The following is a 19422-nucleotide window of genomic DNA, read 5'->3' on the forward strand; positions in this document are numbered from 1 at the left end:
TTGCTCTTGTGAATAGTGTTGCAGTGAACATATTCATGCATATGTCTTTATGATATAATGATTTATATTCCTTTAGGTATATACCCAGTAAAGAAATTGCTAGGTCAAATGGCAGTTCTGTTTTTACCTCTTTGAGGAGTCATGTGGCCCTTTTAAAACTTGTTTCAAACCATGTTGAGAACATAAAACCCTGGTCCTACCTTTGTCATTAGTTTTCCATTGGCTACAAATTATAGGTAGCTTTCTAACTTAAACATTTATTATCCCTAGAACCTGTGGATTTCTGCAATTTCAGTTAAAATTTCCAAATTTCTCTTAAAAACACTGTATTTAGTGCTTAAAAAAAGTCATGTGGAGGGCAGGGGCTGTTAGGTACTTTGAGCTAGTTAGTAGAATTTCTCTGATGGACATTTCTATCCAGTGAGCTTGTAATTGTTTGAATAGCAATAGACAGTTTGGGATTCCTTATTCTGGGATTTCTGGACACACATTAGATATTTGGTGAAGCACTATTTGGTTGCTTGATTTGGGTGGGCCTTTGAATTGTTAGGAAGTTCCTTAAATTGAGGTTTGTAACCCAGGCTTTAGGAGATCCCTGAACCTTGGAAGCAAAATATTGTTAGTAATTATATGTTTTTCTGATAACATAGTGTACATAGTTTTCATCAGAGTTTTAAAGGGTCCCTGACCCAAAATAGATTAAGAACTTTTACCTTAATTTTGTAGTGAACTCCAAGTAGAAGTTTCTAGGTTGGATATTATAGTATAATTCATTACTTGGATTATTGGTGAGCATATAGAACTTAAACTCTGATCATCTAGCACAACAGCAGTAACCTGATTATTTTATAGATTTTCTTGACAAAGCAGTGATGTATGGTATAACCAGAGAGATGTTGCTGGTTAGAGGATGGTTCCATATGGAGGATGATTTCAACTTTGAGGAAAAATTGTTGTTAATGATAATCAGACTTTTTCCAGCTTCCCAGTGATTATATGTTGTTATTTCTTCAGACCATTGGTATAATAAATATGGTGTTGTTGCCTCAAAATCTTGTCAAAGTTTATCACCTGTTTAGCCTTTTTAATGAAACCATGCAGTCTTTTCATGGTAGTACTTTTGTTATTTGACATATAATTCTTCAGGTAAGCTAACATCCAAGAATTATATGCTACAGCTTTTAATTCTGTTTTTGTTTTCAGAACTCTTCATCTTGGCTTATACCTATACTGCCTGATATGCTCCGACACATTTTTCAGTTCTGTGTTTTGGAAAGCAGCCAGGAAATTCTGGACCTTATTCACAAGGTACACAGCAAATGTATTTGTGTTCCTTTTCCTAGTAACTTTTGTAGATTTTTAAAATTTTTCATAATTGCTGTTCTGTTGGTCATTCATATCTCATGGAGATTTGAAAAGTCTGGAGATCTGCATAATGAGACAGAGAACTAGGCTTCTTACATGTAGCATGTAATAGTTAAGTTTTGATTGGCCATGCTTCTTCCTCTTATTATGTGACTTACACAGGTGTTTTAAGCACTTTCTGATAGCCTCAATACAGAAAATGAAATGAGGAAAAGATTGCTTTTCTCTAGCCCTCATCTTGCTGTTTATCAATATGCTTATAGATCCTGCAAAGTATCTTTTAGGATCTGTTGGTAATATAGAGTCTAATTATTGTTGAAACTTGTACTTTTTTCCCTACTTAGAGTGATCATATGTGTTAGAATCATTAAAGGAGGAGCCGTTTGATATATTTAATAGCATTTATGGGGGGAAATGGCACTTTTGTACCTTTATAATCTGTTAAATTACTCTTGAATTGTTGGCCTCTAAAGTGACTCCTTGTTAACAACCTTGGATTAACAGTGGTGATCTTGCCATAGGCTAGTCCTAGCCCATTAAATGTTAGGCATCAGGAAAGGTACCTTATCCTTATTAAGTAAGATCATGAATCAAAACTTATACTGTTTTAAATTTATACTAGGTTATTACCACCTTTGAGTTTAGCAGAGAATATTAGGAGCTATTTTTAAATGTGTGTTGAATATAGGACTGCATTAATATTGAGTCTTATGATATATGCAAAGGATTTATTTCAGTGACTTACTGAGATTTTGACAATTTTGTATTACTTTTATAGGCATGTTTTTTTAAAAAGAGAATTGTGTTCTTTTTTTAAAAAAAAACTTTCCTTTGCATGACTTTTTTTTTAGTGCACAAACCTATTAGAAAACAGTACTGTATTTCAAAATAAGCCTCTATATTGAATTTCTAAATTAATCTCTGTGCTATTTCCTACTTAAAAAAACCTCAGTATTCCTAAAGATAAGTGTTAGAGTTTATTTTTATTAGAAAAAATTCACTTTCATGTCCCCCTTTTACCCTGCAGGTTTGGATGGAACTGTTGAGTAAGGCTTCAGTTCAGTATGTGGTAGCAGCTGCTTGCCCATGGATGGGTGCTTGGCTTTGCTTGATGATGCAGCCTTCTCATTTACCTATCGATTTAAATATGTTGCTAGAAGTAAAAGCTAGAGCCAAGGTAAGTGTAGAGGGACATAGTGTATTTGTGTGTTCATCATCTAATTATTAATACAGTAACCATATTTTTAAAAATCTGTATTGCCTTAAGTGTGATTTAATTAACATAAGTAAGGAGAAACCGTTATTTTATTAGGACCCTGACAAAATGAATAGTAATGTTTATCCATTAAAATTTTGTGAAAAGAACTGTATTTTACTGGGATTATTTTAAAAATATCATATTTTTGTTGTTGCCTATTCAGTTTTAATGGTTAATCTTTATTGTTTTTTTTTCCCCTCCCTCTGTAGGAAAAAACAGGTGGTAAGGTGCGCCAAGGCCAAAGCCAGAATAAAGAAGTACTTCAGGAGTATATTGCAGGTGCCGACACCATCATGGAAGACCCAGCCACCAGGGATTTTGTAGTTATGCGGGCCAGAATGATGGCAGCCAAGTGAGTGTACATTAAGTGTCAGGTAGTCATACATTTACAAGTCTGGCTTTCAAAGGTTATTTAACCAACAGAAGATTCCTCTGCTGTCTCCATCAGTCCTTCCTTCCTTCATCACACTAATTATAGCCTAAGGAAAAATTAGAGTAAGCAAATACTTCTAATTATTTTAAAGCTTTAAAATAGGATTTATATCTTCTTATGAAGACAAGATAGTCATTATACCTTCTGTGGGAAAAGTTATGGCTTCAAAAAGCCAAATTTTGCTTCAAGTAATTATAGGAAATTGAAAAAATTTCCCGAAGTATGGGGAAACTTTACTTCAAGTAATTTCTTATAGTAACTTCCTTTTTCTCCCTCTTAGGTTGTTAGGAGCACTTTGTTGCTGTATTTGTGATCCAGGTGTAAATGTGGTAACTCAAGAAATTAAACCAGCTGAATCCCTGGGCCAGTTACTACTCTTCCATTTGAACTCCAAGTCTGCTTTACAGAGGATTAGTGTAGCTTTGGTAATCTGTGAATGGGCTGCTTTACAAAAGGTAAGATTTTGCCCCAAAAGTAATAAAGACAAATTAAGTAAACCAATTTCCATTAGCTGTTAGGATTATTTACAACAGAAAAGTGAAAATTTTCGATGTATAAAAATCCAAGAGTTACAGAAAAGTGTCCAAATTATATTGAAGATTATTTCTCTCCCATTTACTTTTAACTCTGGACTTTTGTCTTAGAACCCCTACTCATACTTCCAACTACTAGTTATGCTCATACTTAATATTTGCTGTTGACTGTACAGTCTGTTAAGAAATATCCCTATTAAAAACCGCGTATATGTGAAAGTAGTCCAGAAACTATTGGTCATCCATTCCTCTATATGTCACTCAGGTATCACTGAAAACTACAAAGGATGAGGCTTTGAGTATTAGACATCCATCTGTGTGGGTAGTAGCAAAGGCAGAATTTTTGGTCACAGGAAGAATAACATCTCTGTATTTAAACCAAAATCTTCATGTTTCCAAATAAACCATTCCCTTCCAGCCTCTTTAACCGTTAACTTCTAGGGAGATGTATGATTTTGTATAAGACATACTTCTGTAAATCAAAGAAACTTTCTACTGGCTTTGTTTATTCCATTGACTGGAATTCTGGAAATTTAACTGTCTGCACTTGCTGTGAGAGTTACTTGTTACTGCCTGTTAGCAGTTTGTCAAAGCTGTATCTAAAAGTAATTGAGCCATGCTCCATTGCAGCTGACACCCCTGCTTGGCCTCTGGAAAGAAGCAAAGCTCATCTGTTTTTAGGCAGGAGTTGGTGTGCTGGAGAGGCAGTGATGCTATGTTTTTGTGCCTCTCAGACTTAGCAGCAAGTGTTGACAGTTAGGTTTCTGGACACTCACAGAGCTTCATGGACTTACTCTGTGAAGCCCAGGCTGATAACTGAGATGCCACAGAACCCCTCATGGCTCACCACTGAGGCCATTTCCTGTTGGTTTGGGGCAGGCAACAACCAGAGAGAGTGGGAAGGGTTAGTTAAATTTGGGGATAGATAAGTAGCTTTTAAAATTTATATCCACTTTTACAGTATGGCATGTGAAGCTTAGGGTTCAACTGTTATCTAATAATGAGTTTTTAAATAACATTTTTAATTAGTGCTTGATAGATTTCTTTTCTGATTTTTTTTTTTTTTACCATAATACACTTTAAAATCTGTGATATATATACACGTGTAAACTTTGGATAGGTAGAAAATGAAGTTGTAATAGTTCTGTGTGCATGTTCTGTAGTCATTCATGTTAAAATTTTACAATAATTTGGATGTAATACCTTTTTTTCTGTGCAATTAACTGTTGTTTGGAGAAGTAACAGAATATAGATTCAGTACAAGTAAGAATTTAGAACTTGGTAGTCTACAAATGACGATTTCTGTATCTATAAAGTTAATGTTCATACAGTTACCCTATTTGTTTTCTGTTGTATTTTAGGAGTGTAAAGCTGTTACCTTAGCTGTGCAGCCGCGTTTACTTGATATCCTTTCAGAACATTTATATTATGACGAAATTGCCGTTCCATTCACACGAATGCAGAATGAATGTAAACAACTTATATCATCATTAGCTGATGTACATATTGAAGTTGGTAATCGAGTAAACAACAATGTTTTAACAATAGATCAAGCTAGTGACTTGGTGAGTAAAGAAATAACTTTCTTAATTAGAGATAGAACATGAAATATAGGTTAGAAATTTGTCATGACATGTTTATCACAAAAACACATTAGTTTGTTGAGTCTGTATGTGGCTTGGTAGCCTGTCATCTCTACCCTTGAGAAAGGTTATTTCATTGTATAGGCTTTTCTTGAAATAAGAGAATAACAAAGAATTTTTTTTAAACCAAAATTCTGATAAATCAATGCACCTTTATTAGAAAAAGCTATTATATTTTGTCATTTCAGTTTTGCTTAACACTGCAGAGTATAGAAAAAACTGCTTCTACAAGTTCCTGAGTACTTCTTCCTGCTCTCAGCCTATAATGAAAATATTCAAACATATAGAAAAAGTGATGAAATTACATAACACTCATACTTAACAGCTAGATTTTATAGTTAACATTTTACCTAATTTACTTTATCACATACGTATTCACCTGCCTACCTCTCTATCCAACCATGAATCCATCCAGGGCAGTTTTTTTAAATGCGTTTCTAAGTAAGTTTCAGATATCAGTATACTTCAGGATTTTATATAATTAACTAAAATTCAGTATTTGTTTATTTTTTTTTGCTGTTCTGAGGAAAAATTTATGTGCTAAAGCACACAAATCTTAGGTGGACCATTTGGTGAATTTTGACAGATGCATATGCCTATGAAACCTGAACCACTGTCAAGATACAGAACATTATCATCACCACTTCCCAGTAATCTCTGCCTCTCCCTGCCACCGAGTAACCATTATTCTAATTCCCCCCCGAAGATACATTACTTTTGCCTGTTCTAGAATTTCATGTAAATGAAATCATACACTGTGCTCTTTGGTGTAAGGATTTTTCTTAGAATGGTATTTTTGAAACTAATCTGTGTTATATATATATATATCAATAACTTATTTTTTTTATTGCTTGAGTTTTATTTCATTGTATTATTATACCACAACTAGTTTAAGCCATTCTCCCGTTTATGGACACTTTGGCTGTTACCACTTTTTGTCTGTTGTGAAAAAAGTCACTATAAACGTTCTTCTGCAAGTCTTTGTGGACATCTGCTTTCATTTTTCTTGGGTAAATATGTAGGAGTGGAATTGCTAAATCATAAGATAGGTGTAGGTTTAGTTTTAGAAAAAACTACAGACTTTTCCCCAAAGAGATTGTATCATTTTACCCTCTGACCATCAGTATGTGAGAGTTCTGGTTACTCCACATCATCAATATTTGATGTGGTCAGTTCTTTTAGTGATTGTCTGATAGTGTTATTGTGGTTTTAATTTCCATTTCCTTGATGACTAATATGTTGAATACTTTCTAATTTTTTATTGATCATTTGTATATTTTCCTTTCTGAAATATCTTTTCAAAATCTTGTCTACTTTGAATTAGGTTGTTTGTTTGTTATTGAGTTGTGGGAGTTCTTTATGTATCCTGGATTCCAATCCTTTGTCAAGTAGATGCTTTCTGAATATTTTCTGGCAGTGAGTGGTTTGCCTTTTGATTCTCTTAATGCTGTCTTTGGATGAGCAGATATTTTAAATTTTGGTGAATTCTAATTTATCAGTTGTTTTCTTTCATGGCTATTATGTTGTGTGACTTCAGTAATTTTTTTTTTTTTAACTTTCCAAGTGGCAAAGGTATTCACATATGTTTTCTTTTGAAGTTTTGTCATTTAGTTTTTATGATTTATCATTCATTTGGAATTAATGTTTGTGTATAGTATGAAGTAGAGGTTGAGGTTTGTTTTTCTTACAGATATCTAATTTTTCCAGCATTATTTATTGAAAATACTTTCATTTCCCTATTGGATTGTTCTGGCACCTTTGTCAAAAACCAACTGAAGTTATATAAGTATGCTGTGTATCTGGGCCATTTGTTCAATGTATTTGTCTTTCCTTATGCCAGCATCCATGCTTCATTACAGCAGCTTTGTACTTAGTAAGTGCATGAGATTAGGTGTAGTATATATGAGTTCTTCCTTTTTTGAGTTATAGGATCAGAAATTGAGTCACTTCATTTGTGTTGGTCCCCATGAAAATAGTAATCTTCATTTCTTATCCCCATTTCTAGTTGAAAAATAATATAGTTGAATTTTTTTGTTCTCACCTGTGGAGAGAAAGCTAAAATTGCTGTTTTTTTTCCCCCTGGGTTCTCTTCTTTTATAAAGTTATTTTCCCGAGTGTTGTTATTCTGTAAGTTTTCCTTTTTGCCTCCTCTCCCTACTTTTTTGCCTGTCTGGAATTAAATCTCAAATTTTCTTTATAGTCTAGGTTCCCTGCCTACTATTTCTGGGAACTTTCCTTTTTTAAGCTCATCAAATGGCCCCTTCTTTAAGATTTGCTTATTCAGATCTTTTACTCTTCAGTTGTTTTGACTTGGGCTAGAAGATAAGCATAAATATCAGAATCTCTGGGAGAGACTTTTTTTCTTTTTTTTTTCTGTAAGGGACTTTTGAGGGAAGGGCAGTTTTCAAAGGAGCCACTGCCTTTTGTATCTTCATTGAATCCCTGTTTTCCTGTTACCTGCCAAATATAGACATTTCCCTGCGATCTTTGTCTCTTGCACCATTCTCATGATTTAGTTCCTACCCAGGTACTGTGTGCTGTCTACTCTCAGTCTTTCTTACGTTCTTCTTTTAGGCATTTTTACTTAAATATCTCACTGTCACTTCACACTGAACACAACAAAAACTGGCTTTTTTTTTTTTTTTTTTGACAAAGATACTCTTTTTATTCCAGTCACAAATCTTGTCAGCATTTTCTTTCAGAAAGTCTCATGTGTTTAGGCCGGGCGCAGTGGCTCACGCCTGTAATCCCAGCACTTTGGGAGGCCGAGGTGGGTGGATCATGAGGTCAGGAGATCAAGACCATCCTGGCTAACATGGTGAAACCCCATCTCTGTTAAAAATACAAAAAATTAGCCGGGCGTGGTGGTGGGTGCCTGTAGTCCCAGCTACTCGGGAGGCTGAAGCAGGAGAATGGCGTGAACCCAGGAGGCGGAGCTTGCAGTGAACCAAGATCACGCCACTGCGCTCCAGCCTGGGTGACAGAGTGAGACTTGGTCTCAAAAAAAAAAAGAAAGTCTCATGTTTAATCTCTTCTCTATTTCCATTATCAGAGCCCAGTCAGATCTTAGTACTTTATATCTAGGTCCTGACTCATCTCTAGGGCTCCAGGCAGCCTCTGGTCCATTTCATTCTGCATGTTGTGCTAGACTAGCAATGCTCTTTTTGTGCCACCCTGAACATCCCTCTCCTGCTTAAAAACATTATTTTCCTTTTCCTTGCTTTTTCATTTTTATCTTTCTTCTTTTCATCACTTTCTTCTAAATGCTCTATCTCTTATCTCCTCATTATTTCTCAAACTTTCTCCACTCACGCCCAGTTAGCTTTCTTCTTGCGCAAGTACGCTACACTTATTCACTTCTGCTCATTCTCACTTCTGGGCCCGAGCTTCTATTTCCTTTGCCAGGAATTCCCCATCCCTAACCCTCTGTGCTTATCCAGAGTTCATCTCTTTTTCTGTGTGTTGTGCTCAAGCTATGATAAACTTCAATTCCACAGACAGTGTCCTGTTTTCCACTCCCTACCTCACTTTGTTTGCCAAGATGTCCCTATAATCCCTGATTGGCCTGTTCTTTAAAAACCAAGCATAAGTGTTATCCTCCTCTGACAAGTCTCCCACTAATCTCTTCTTCTAAGAAGGAATAAGGAGTGCTCTGTATTCCCACAGCAACTTGCACTTACCTCAGTTATATGTTACATTTTCTTAATTATTTATATCTCTCCCACATTAGTCTCTGCATTTTTTGAGCATATTAAGACATTATATCTTATTTATCTTTTAATAAATATTGGTTGAATGATTGAATTAATTTGGGGGTAACTGAGGCTTTTCCTCAGTTGTCTACAGTCATTGAAAAGTGACATGAGCATAGTGGATTTAGGACAATGTTTTTAAACTTTTAGCATTGTAACCCTGTTTCAAATAAATCTTATACATTGTACATTTCAAATGGGTAGTTTTTATGGTATGCAAATTATATCTGAATAAAGTTGTTAAAAAAAAGACTGACTGAACAGTCTTTCAATGGGGCTTGCAAAGTAGTCTGGTACAACAGTCCTGTAGCCTTAGATAGCTCTTGGTAATTAAGTGAATGATAACTGCACCATTTTGTTCTGTTCTGTTTTGTTTTGTTTTGTTTCTTTTCCTTCTTCCATTGCCTGGGCATTTCCACCAGAAGGGAGGTTAAAGAAAGAAAGAGAATGATTCAGTTAGCAACACTTAGCCACTTAGTAAACAGCCACTCTTAAGTTTTCACGAGTTTTAGAGTTGAAAAGAATATTTTTCCCAAAAAGAAGTTTGTGAGTTTTGGAATTCCTTCATGAACAGTTAGTTTATATTTGCCTGTAGCTTTCTTGTTTCACCAGAGTATTCTGCGGGTGTTAAATGTGATTTTCCTCAAAGTCATTTAGACATATTTAAAGGTTAGATAATTTTATTCTTCTCAAGAGAATGTCTTTCTTAAAGAATATAATGCTAATGTTAAATTTTAGTCAGATTAAAATAAAATTTAGTTGGGAAGTTTTAGACATTAGTTTACTGAGTACTAAAACAATATTACATATTGTGGAAACCAAAATTGAAACAGAAAGCTTGCTGTCTACCCTTTAGGAGCTTACAGTCTATTTGGGGTTGATATGATTAATGATTTTTAATTTCTTTTTTTTTTAATAGGTCACTACTGTTTTTAATGAAGCCACATCATCTTTCGATTTAAATCCTCAAGTGTTACAACAGTTAGATAGTAAACGACAGCAGGTCCAAATGACAGTTACAGAGACCAACCAGGAGTGGCAAGTGTTGCAGTTGAGAGTGCATACTTTTGCTGCCTGTGCAGTTGTGAGCTTGCAGCAGCTTCCGGAGAAATTAAATCCTATCATAAAACCATTAATGGAGACAATTAAAAAAGAAGAGAATACACTAGTGCAAAACTATGCAGCTCAGTGCATAGCTAAACTCCTTCAGCAGTGCACAACAAGGACGCCCTGTCCCAATTCAAAAATTATTAAAAACCTCTGTAGCTCACTTTGTGTGGACCCATATCTAACTCCTTGTGTCACATGTCCAGTACCAACACAAAGTGGCCAGGAAAATTCTAAAGGTATATACCTAAACTTTTATTTGGGGTAGAGAAATAACCTTTTAAATTTGTTTTTGTTTACTTATGGGTATAATTTAAGCACAAATCCAGTTCATGTTAGTGTTTTTTCCCATTCTGAGAGAAAAGGCTTGATTATAACAAAACTCTTTGTTACATGAATTTGCACATAATACTTACCAGTCACAACCCTGTAAGTTCAAAAAAGCCATTCATGGAAGATCTGATAGCTGATATAAGGTGACTGAAATCTGTAAGACAGGTGTTCACCCTTACCTTTGCCTTCAAAACCATCATTATATGGTTTACTGTATCAAGCTAGAAAAGGTAATTGTATCAAATGTTATTTAATGAATTTTTTTTCCTTAACCAAAGGAGCAACCCTATTGACTGAAAAAGTCATTATAAAATCTCTCGTTTCCCTAATTTAGTGCATGTTTTATGAGATTAGTGAACTTTTAGTACTTTTAGTAAATAATACTTAACCAACTTTTTTGTTTTCACTTGGAGAATTTGTATGGAAAATGAGAACTGCCCTCTGTAGGCAGGTCTTAAAGACCAGTGTTTTATTCATATGACTCAGTCCTATGTGCTTTTTGTATGTGTGATTGTTAACAAGATTTTGGGAAAACAAATTATTTGAAATGTAGTAGACTTACAGCTTTGGTGCAGCATAGATCTTGAAAAATATGTTTATGAACTAGAAGAAGAAAGGTGGACATTTTGAATATTAACATCTTAAAAATACATTGGGGTCATTCTCCCCCCTCTTACCCCCCTGGTCCATTGCTATATAAGGCAGCATCATTTTGCAGTGACCAATTTTTTTTTTTTAATTCATGGTGACTCTGCTTTTAAAGAGAACTTGCTTGAGATATTTTTTAATATTTCTCGTTATGCTTAGGCACAATAATTTTTTAAAAAGTAATAGGCCAGGCCAGGCACGGCGGCTCACGCCTGTAATCCCAGCACTTTGGGAGGCCGAGGCAGGCGGATCACCTGAGGTCGGGAGTTCAAGACCAGCCTGACCAAAATGGAGAAATCCCATCTCAACTAAAAATATATAATTAGCTGGGCATGGTGGTGCATGCCTGTATCCCAGCTACTCGGGAGGCTGAGGCAAGAGAATGGCCTCAACCTGGGAGGCGGAGGTTGCGGTGAGCTGAGATCGCGCCATTGTATTCCAGCCTGGGCAACAAGAGTGAAACTCCGTCTCAAAAAATAATAATTAATTAATTAATAGGCCAGGGACCAGGCAGTGGCTCATGCCTGTAATCCCAGCACTTTAGGAGGTCGAGGTGAGCAGATAACTTGAGGCCAGGAGTTCAAGACCAGGCTGGTCAACATGGTGAAACCCCATCTCTACTAAAAAAATATATAAAAATTAGGCTGGGTGCAGTGGCTCACGCCTGTAATCCCAGCACTTTGGGAGGCCGAGGCGGGTGGATCACGAGGTCAGAAGTTCGAGACCATCCTGACTAGCATGGTGAAACCCCGTCTGTACTAAAAATACAAAAAATCAGCCGGGCATGGTGGCAGGCACCTGTAGTCCCAGCTACTCAGGAGGCTGAGGCAGGAGACTGGCGTGAACCTGGGAGGCTGAGCTTGCAGTGAGCCGAGATCGCACTGCTGCACTCCAGCCTGGGCGACAGGGCGAGACTCCGTCTCAAAAAAATATATAAATATAAATATAAATATATATATATATATATATAAATTATCCGGACGTGGTGGCGTGCGTCTGTAATCCTAGCTACTCAGGAGGCTGAGGCATGAGAGTCCCCTTGAACCTGGGAAGTGGAGGTTGCAGTAAGCCAAGATTGCACCACTGCACCCCAGCCTAGGTGGCAGAGTGAGACTCCATCTCAAAAATAACAACAAAAAATTAATAGGCTGGGCATGGTGGCTCATGCCTATAATCCCAGCATTTTGGGAGGCCGAGGCGGGCAGATGGAATGAGCTCAGGAGTTTGAGACCAGCCTGGGCAACATGGTGAAACCCTATCTCTTCAAAAAATATAAAATTAGCTGGGTGTGGTGGTGTGTGCCTGTAGTCCTAACTCCTCAGGAGGCTGAGGTGGGAGGATTGGATCTCTTGAGCCCAGGAGGTGGAGGTTGCAGTGAGCTGAGACGGTGGTACTGCACTCCAGCCTGGGCAACAGAGAAAGACCCTGTCTCAGAAAAAAAAAATTATATATATGTGTGTGTGTGTGTGTGTGTGTATATATATATATATATATATATATATATATATATACACACATATATACACACACAAACACATTAACTGAAGTCACAATAATTTTTTCATGTGCTGTTTCTCATTGTTCAGATGGCTCTGCAACCTGGATTGTATTAGGTATAAATCCTATGCAAATAGACTATTTTATTGCCATTTCATTGTCTAAGGAAAATGTCATTGGCCTATAAAAGTTGAGGCCTAAAAGACATAGTTTAAAAATGTTTTATCTCTTATGGAGCTGAAAACATTTGGTATCACCAATATTATGATTAAAAGGTTGTTTAACTTTTTTCTTATTAGGATCCACCTCAGAAAAAGATGGAATGCACCATACTGTCACCAAGCACAGAGGTATAATTACACTCTACAGGCACCAGAAAGCTGCCTTTGCTATCACAAGTAGGCGAGGTCCTACCCCCAAAGCAGTAAAAGCTCAAATAGCAGATCTTCCTGCAGGAAGTAGTGGAAATATTCTTGTTGAACTTGATGAGGTAAGTAGTTTTTTTTTTTTTTTAATGCTTTGATTTTTAAACAAATATCTGACTTACAAATTGAGAACTAAGTTGTATTAGCTTCCAGAGTTGTTTTTAAGTAAAGAAATGGGATTAATTTTTGGAGTACTCCAACAATATGATCCAGAAAAACGGCAAACTTCAAATATCTCATGTCTCTTGTAATTTTTACCAGCTTAACTTTATCTTCCTAGGCAAGACAGCCTTGTAAACTAATTCAGTCCTATAGCAGTGACTGTAGAGAAGGTGCTCAATAATAGTGAAAGCTAACTTTTCTCTGTCCTTTCAATGCACAAATGTCATATAATTGCAACCCACCTGACTTTTTTAGTCAATTTGATATTTATTAAATGCTTAGTGTGAGGTAGGGTTCTAAATTTATTTTTCATATGAACAGCCAGTTATCCCACTATTGAATCCTTTCCTCTCTGATTTATAATGGCACCTCTGTTAATGGCTTCATATGTGTGAGGGTCTATTCAGGCTTTCCATTATCTCCCATTGGTCCACCTGTTACACCGTACAGTCTTAACAAGCAGTGGTTTTTAAAAAGTGTTTTGTTTTGAAAATCTGACAGTCACATTATTAGCAATAGAATGAATGCTCTAGTTAGTTCTTTGGAATGCAAGGCATAGGAATGTACCTCAGTTCAGCAGTAAACCATCAATACTAAAAGACATGTTTCTGTAAAATATAAACCCCTTTTAAGTTTCTTTTTAAAATCAACAGCTTATCTATATTTCCCTTAAAACATTCTGTAAAGTCTTTTTCATTGACAATATTTCCCTATAATAATTGTAATAAAAATTTTACTGTGATTTTGATATTTATATCTCTAGTTTGCATAGTTATTCCTCCAATTAAACATAATTTTAAAAATATAAATATCTTTTTGGGGGGACAGATTTATGGACCGTAATTACTGCTGAATAAGAATTATTAATCTTGGGGTTAGCTTAAACAGATGATCTTGTACTATCCCTTAAGTGAATGTAAATAAGGACACATCACTTCATCTATCTTCTCTCTAGCTGACAAGTTTCTTTGAGGTAGAGAGAAGGAGGAAAAAAAATGTCACTTAGGACTATCTCTAGAAACAGCACATATCCGTCTGTTCCTTATCCTCAACCCCAAAAAAGTGTTTTACTTTGGTCACAAAAATCTAGTTAGGTGTTGTAGGCCCCTGTAAATTTAATTATTGGGAAATGTTTATAATTGAGACAAACATGTCTAATAATTGCTTACTTGGTTAATGATAACATTATGAATTCTTAGATGGTGACTTTTAAATTCTTTTGTTAAAATTTTAAATGTATTATGATTTTTTCTGAAATTCTGTTTTTATCTAACATTTAATTTTAAGGCCCAGAAGCCTTACCTGGTACAACGGAGAGGAGCTGAATTTGCTTTGACAACTATAGTAAAGCATTTTGGTGGTGAAATGGCAGTGAAGTTGCCACATCTCTGGGATGCTATGGTTGGCCCATTGAGGAATACAATCGACATAAATAATTTTGGTATACACATATTTTTATGAGTCCAGTTTTTAACAAATTTTAATGTCTATTAATTGAATATATCCTTATAAAATAAAAATGCCTCTATGCCTCTACCTGTTTATTCCAGACCAGCTGGTAAGTTTTAAAATGGAAACTTGGTTTAAAAAAAACACACACCTTTATTTTATAAAAGAGATATTTGGGTTGGGCATGGTGGCTCATGCCTGTAATCCCAGCACTTTGGGAGGCCCAGGTGGGCAGATCACTTGAGGTCAGGAGTTTGAGACCAACCTGGCCAACATGGCAAAACCCCATCTCTAGCAAAAATACAAAAATTAGCTGGGCGTGTAGTCCCAGCTACTCTGGAGGCTGAGGCAGGAGGATTGCTTGAACCCTGGGGGTGGAGGTTGCAGTGAGCCGAGATTATGCCACTGCACTGCAGCCTGGATGACAGAGCGAGACTCTGTCTCAAAAAAAAAAAAAATTGTTTTTAAAGAGATACTTGAAATGGATCACTATGTTTAAGTTCTTTGGTTGCTCTACATGTAGTACCCCAGCACTTAAATTAAGGTCATGGCATTTAATTTTAACACTAAGAAGCAAAATTGACTCTCCTATGCTAGCTGAAAAAGTGCTAAAAGTTTTTGTGTGCTCTAGATTTTGAAAAATTATTTGCCAGATAATACAGACAATATATTTTAACAGATGGAAAATCCCTCCTGGATAAGGGAGATAGCCCTGCTCAAGAATTGGTGAATTCTCTGCAGGTTTTTGAAACAGCAGCAGCTTCAATGGATTCTGAGCTTCATCCCTTGGTAACTAACTAATGCAAGTGTAATATTTCTTCAAATAAAACAAGTGGTCTTATTAAAAAGTCTTAAGGTTTGAAAGGTACAGCTTTGATGTCATCCTTATTAATTGCATTTTTCTTTGCTGTGGTATAACTAGATTCCTCCTTTACTAACAGTGCAACTCCTGTGGGCTTTGATGTAGACCAGGCTGCTTGAATTTAATAGAAAACCCAACCTGGAAGCTTAGAATGTGGGGGCATTGAGGAAAGGACTCTGATGACACAGGAGCCAGATGTAAATAGGAAAGAAAACTGCAGCCCTGTTCATCCAGATGATCCTAATAATACAGCTCCAAGAAAGGAAAAGCATATATAATGAAATCTGTTTCCTAGATAAGTACAAAGGTGAAAGGAGTCACCTGCCTAAGGTGAAGCTGGTCAGTGGCAAAGATAGAACACTGGTTTGGGATTTTTTTAAAAAACTATTAAAATGTTTCTTACAAAAGAATTAGGACAGAGGGAGGAGGAAAATAGAGAATTATCTGGTTTTTTTCATAGAAGAATATTATTCTTTTCATATCTCTGCAATAGGAAGCTGTCTGCAATTTACCCCATTTTGAAGGGTATTAGCCCAGTTCTCTATTGTTATTTAACACAAAAGGGAGAATCTATGAGAGGGTGGAGAAGAATGGATTTTTTTTTTTGTACATAGTAATAAAGTATGTCCTTTTACTTGTTAAAAGTTTTGCTGATTTACTGTTAGTAAAGAAAAGTAGGCCGGGCGTGGTGGCTTACACCTGTAATCCCAGCACTTTGGGAGGCCGAGGTGGGTGAATCACGAGGTCAGGAGTTCAAGACCAGCCTGGCCAATATGGTGAAACCCCCATCTCTACTAAAAATACAAAAATTAGCCGGGCGTGATGGGACATGCCTGTAGTCCCAGGTACTTGGGAGGCTGAGGCAGGAGAATCACTGGAACCCGGGAGGCAGAGGTTGCAGTGAGCCAAGATCGCGCCACTGCACTCTAGCCTAGGCGACAGAGCGAGACTCAGTCTCAAAAAAAAAAAGAAGGAAAAAAAAAAGTAGAGTCCATCTGTACGCTCTTAATCTTCATAATTAGCAACATGCATTCAGCTGAACTGTAAGGCACATCAAACTGTTGAACAGATACCTGGCTCTCATCAGCATTAATTCTGGTGTTCCTTGTAGCAGACATTTAGTAAGGTGCTGTTGTGATGCTGTTGTGATTATAACACCTATGGTAAGCCAGGAAGCTACAGTGGACGATACCTACCAAAGTATGGTGCTAGAATAAAATCAGGAACACTCAAGCCACTGAATAAAAATTATGTACCTAAATCTAAATTAGTGCTACCAAATTTGGAGGGAGCTGGTGATGTGTGGTGCTGTTTTCCAGCTTCAGTAGGAGAATCTTGCCAAGTACTTTTTGGTTTGTTTCCTGTTAATTTTGGAAAGAATTGAGTGTTCCTATATGCCTAAGAGATGATATGAGCAGAGCAGAGGTTCTATACCTTTTTTTCCCTTCTTTTTGAAAGAGTTGTAATACATTAATTTGTATTTGGATTAGTTTTCTATTGAGAATGTTTTGGCAGTAATGTTTTGAAGTATTTGGAGATATTTTTAGAGTCACTTAGAATATTGAAAACTTTCCTGAGTATGGGCTATTATAGTTACATATTAAACAGTATTTCCTAATAATTCTAATTGCCATTAACTTTTTGTTTTTAGTTGGTCCAGCATTTGCCACATCTTTATATGTGCCTTCAATACCCCAGTACTGCAGTGAGGCACATGGCTGCTCGTTGTGTAGGTGTCATGAGCAAAATAGCTACCATGGAAACAATGAATATTTTTTTGGAGAAGGTTCTTCCGTGGCTGGGAGCAATTGATGACAGTGTCAAACAAGAGGGTGCAATTGAAGCACTTGCCTGTATCCTTTTTCATTTGACAAACTGTTCAGGAATTATATTCATTTCACTTAAGGATAATTAAAATGAAATTGATGTGTTCTAATATGCACATAAATAACCTGCCTTGTTCCAAAAAATACCTATTCTTTTTACATCTTATTTTGAAATATTTTTGTATTTTATTACAAATGTGTTACAAACTGATTTGCATTTTATGATAAAAATTTTCATGTGGAAAGTTTGGAAAATTGCTATTGATTTTAAAACATCTTTTTAATAGGCAAAATAGTTTTATGTACTTTATGAACTATATGTCTAGTAAGTGATTTATTTGTTTATAATCAGTGTCTTATTAATCAGGTATTCTATAGGTAGTCCCTATGTTATAAACATTTTATGTTTTTAAAGTTTGTTCATTACTTGGGTTTACAAATGACCATATTATACTAGATAATTAGAAATATACAGGCAAGCCCTTTGCTAAGGGTATGGCAGCAGCTAACATTCTTTAACTCAAAGTATCTGAAAGATATTTCACAGAGCTCAAAAGATGGATGAAGATCAAATCAGTAGAAACTCTGGTTCAAAAATACTGAAGATTACAGGAGAACTGCGCTTACTAGGCTCACTATATCCTGCTGGTGATTGTCAAGATCCTGGTGGGAAATTTGGAATTAATCTTTGAGTGACACTCAGTTATATTCCTTTACTTACAATGTGACTTATTTTATTTTGACATTGGAATTCCAGACGCTTGTAGCAATTTCTCTATGAAAAAAATCTTATTGGTAAAGCTTTCTCCAGCCTTCCTCAGAAGAAAAACATAATTTTATATTCCTAATCATGAGAAAGTTACATAATATTTTCCAAGGAGCAACAAAATGGGCAGATACTTTTATAATTGAATCATAGGCCTGGAGGGTCAGTCTTTTCCCTCATAATACAGATGAGAAAATGGTGAGCCTTTTAAAAAGTTAAAATCTTGGTATCAGTTTGTTTGTGAAAACATCTGTCTTGGAACCATTTCAAAATTTCCTTAATCACTTACTCAGGTGTAATGGAACAACTAGATGTTGGTATTGTTCCATATATTGTCCTTTTAGTTGTTCCTGTATTAGGAAGAATGAGTGATCAGACAGACAGTGTGAGATTCATGGCCACGCAGTGCTTTGCAACGCTAATTAGACTCATGCCACTTGAGGTAAGTCAAAGATACTTGCTTTAAAGACATAATGTTTTCTATAACTTGATCCATAATAATTGTAACCCTTTTTAGGGCCAGGTACAAAGGCTCATGCCTGTAATCCCAGCACTTTCTGAGGCTGAGGTGGGTGGATCATCTGAGGTCAGGAGTTTGAGTCCAGCCTGGCCAACATGGGTGAAACCCTGTCTCTACTAAAAAAAATACAAAAAAAAGACAAAAACAGTTAGCTGGGCATGGTGGTGTGTGCCTGTAGTCTCAGCTACTCGGGATGCTGAGACACAAGAATTGTTGGAACCTGGAGGCAGAAGTTGCAGTGAGCTGAGATCGTGCCACTGCACTGTATGTATCCTGGGCGACAGCGAGACTCCATCTCAAAAAAAAAAAAAAAAGAAAAGAAAAGAAAAGTAACACTTGTTAAAGAACATGTCAGGCTAAAAAAAGAAGGCATTATTTCAAAAATGTTTATATTACAATAATTAAGATTTTTAGGCTTTTAATTGGTACTTTTTTCCTTTAACACACAGAGTTTTAATTTAAGTAAAACAAGAAATCAGACACTATGATTCCTAAAAAAAATTTACTAATGCTTTTCTAGAAATAGAATTGTTCCTAAGTTTTTCTGGTAACATCTAGGTGTAGACTGTGGGCTAAAGTTTAGGCAAAAGATAAATTTGAGAGATGGTAATTAAGACTGTAAAAAGCAAATGAGGTCTCTGTGGGAGTATGAAAAAGAAGACTAGAAGGATCATGTTGGAGTATTTCGGAGTACATTCATGGGGGCACAAATAATGTGTGGCCAATGCAGGAAACTGAAGTGGCTTGAAACACAGAAAGAGCCAGGAATAATTCAGGAAATAGTAGGTATGGCATGTCATCCATGTTGTTAACATGTATAAGTACTTCCTTTTTATTGCTGAA

At 36.1% G+C, this 19422-nt stretch overlaps 1 protein-coding gene across 20 annotated transcripts in view; it reads left to right on the plus strand.

The window, feature by feature from the left end:
* Positions 1-19422, plus strand: part of BTAF1 (B-TFIID TATA-box binding protein associated factor 1) — a 107668-nt gene that overhangs the window by 55481 nt on the left and 32765 nt on the right. For 15 of the 20 annotated variants that reach the window (NR_165097.1, NR_165102.1, NR_165094.1 and 12 more), the window contains 11 exons: positions 1204-1308; positions 2393-2542; positions 2833-2975; positions 3337-3511; positions 4951-5154; positions 9904-10330; positions 12869-13059; positions 14444-14597; positions 15285-15394; positions 17119-17320; positions 18353-18501. Coding sequence is in view for 6 of the 20 variants with exons in the window: in NM_003972.3 (NP_003963.1) it covers positions 1204-1308; positions 2393-2542; positions 2833-2975; positions 3337-3511; positions 4951-5154; positions 9904-10330; positions 12869-13059; positions 14444-14597; positions 15285-15394; positions 17119-17320; positions 18353-18501 (2010 nt within the window). In the remaining 14 variants the exon portion in view is untranslated. Of the gene's footprint in view, positions 1-1203; positions 1309-2392; positions 2543-2832; positions 2976-3336; positions 3512-4950; positions 5155-9903; positions 10331-12868; positions 13060-14443; positions 14598-15284; positions 15408-17118; positions 17321-17829; positions 17931-18348; positions 18502-19422 lie in introns of all 20 variants that reach the window. The other 5 variants (NR_165093.1, NR_165091.1, NR_165104.1 and 2 more) reach the window with 2 other exon arrangements.

The sequence above is a fragment of the Homo sapiens genome, chromosome 10, assembly GCF_000001405.40.
Source record: "Homo sapiens chromosome 10, GRCh38.p14 Primary Assembly".
Lineage (NCBI taxonomy): Eukaryota > Metazoa > Chordata > Mammalia > Primates > Hominidae > Homo > Homo sapiens.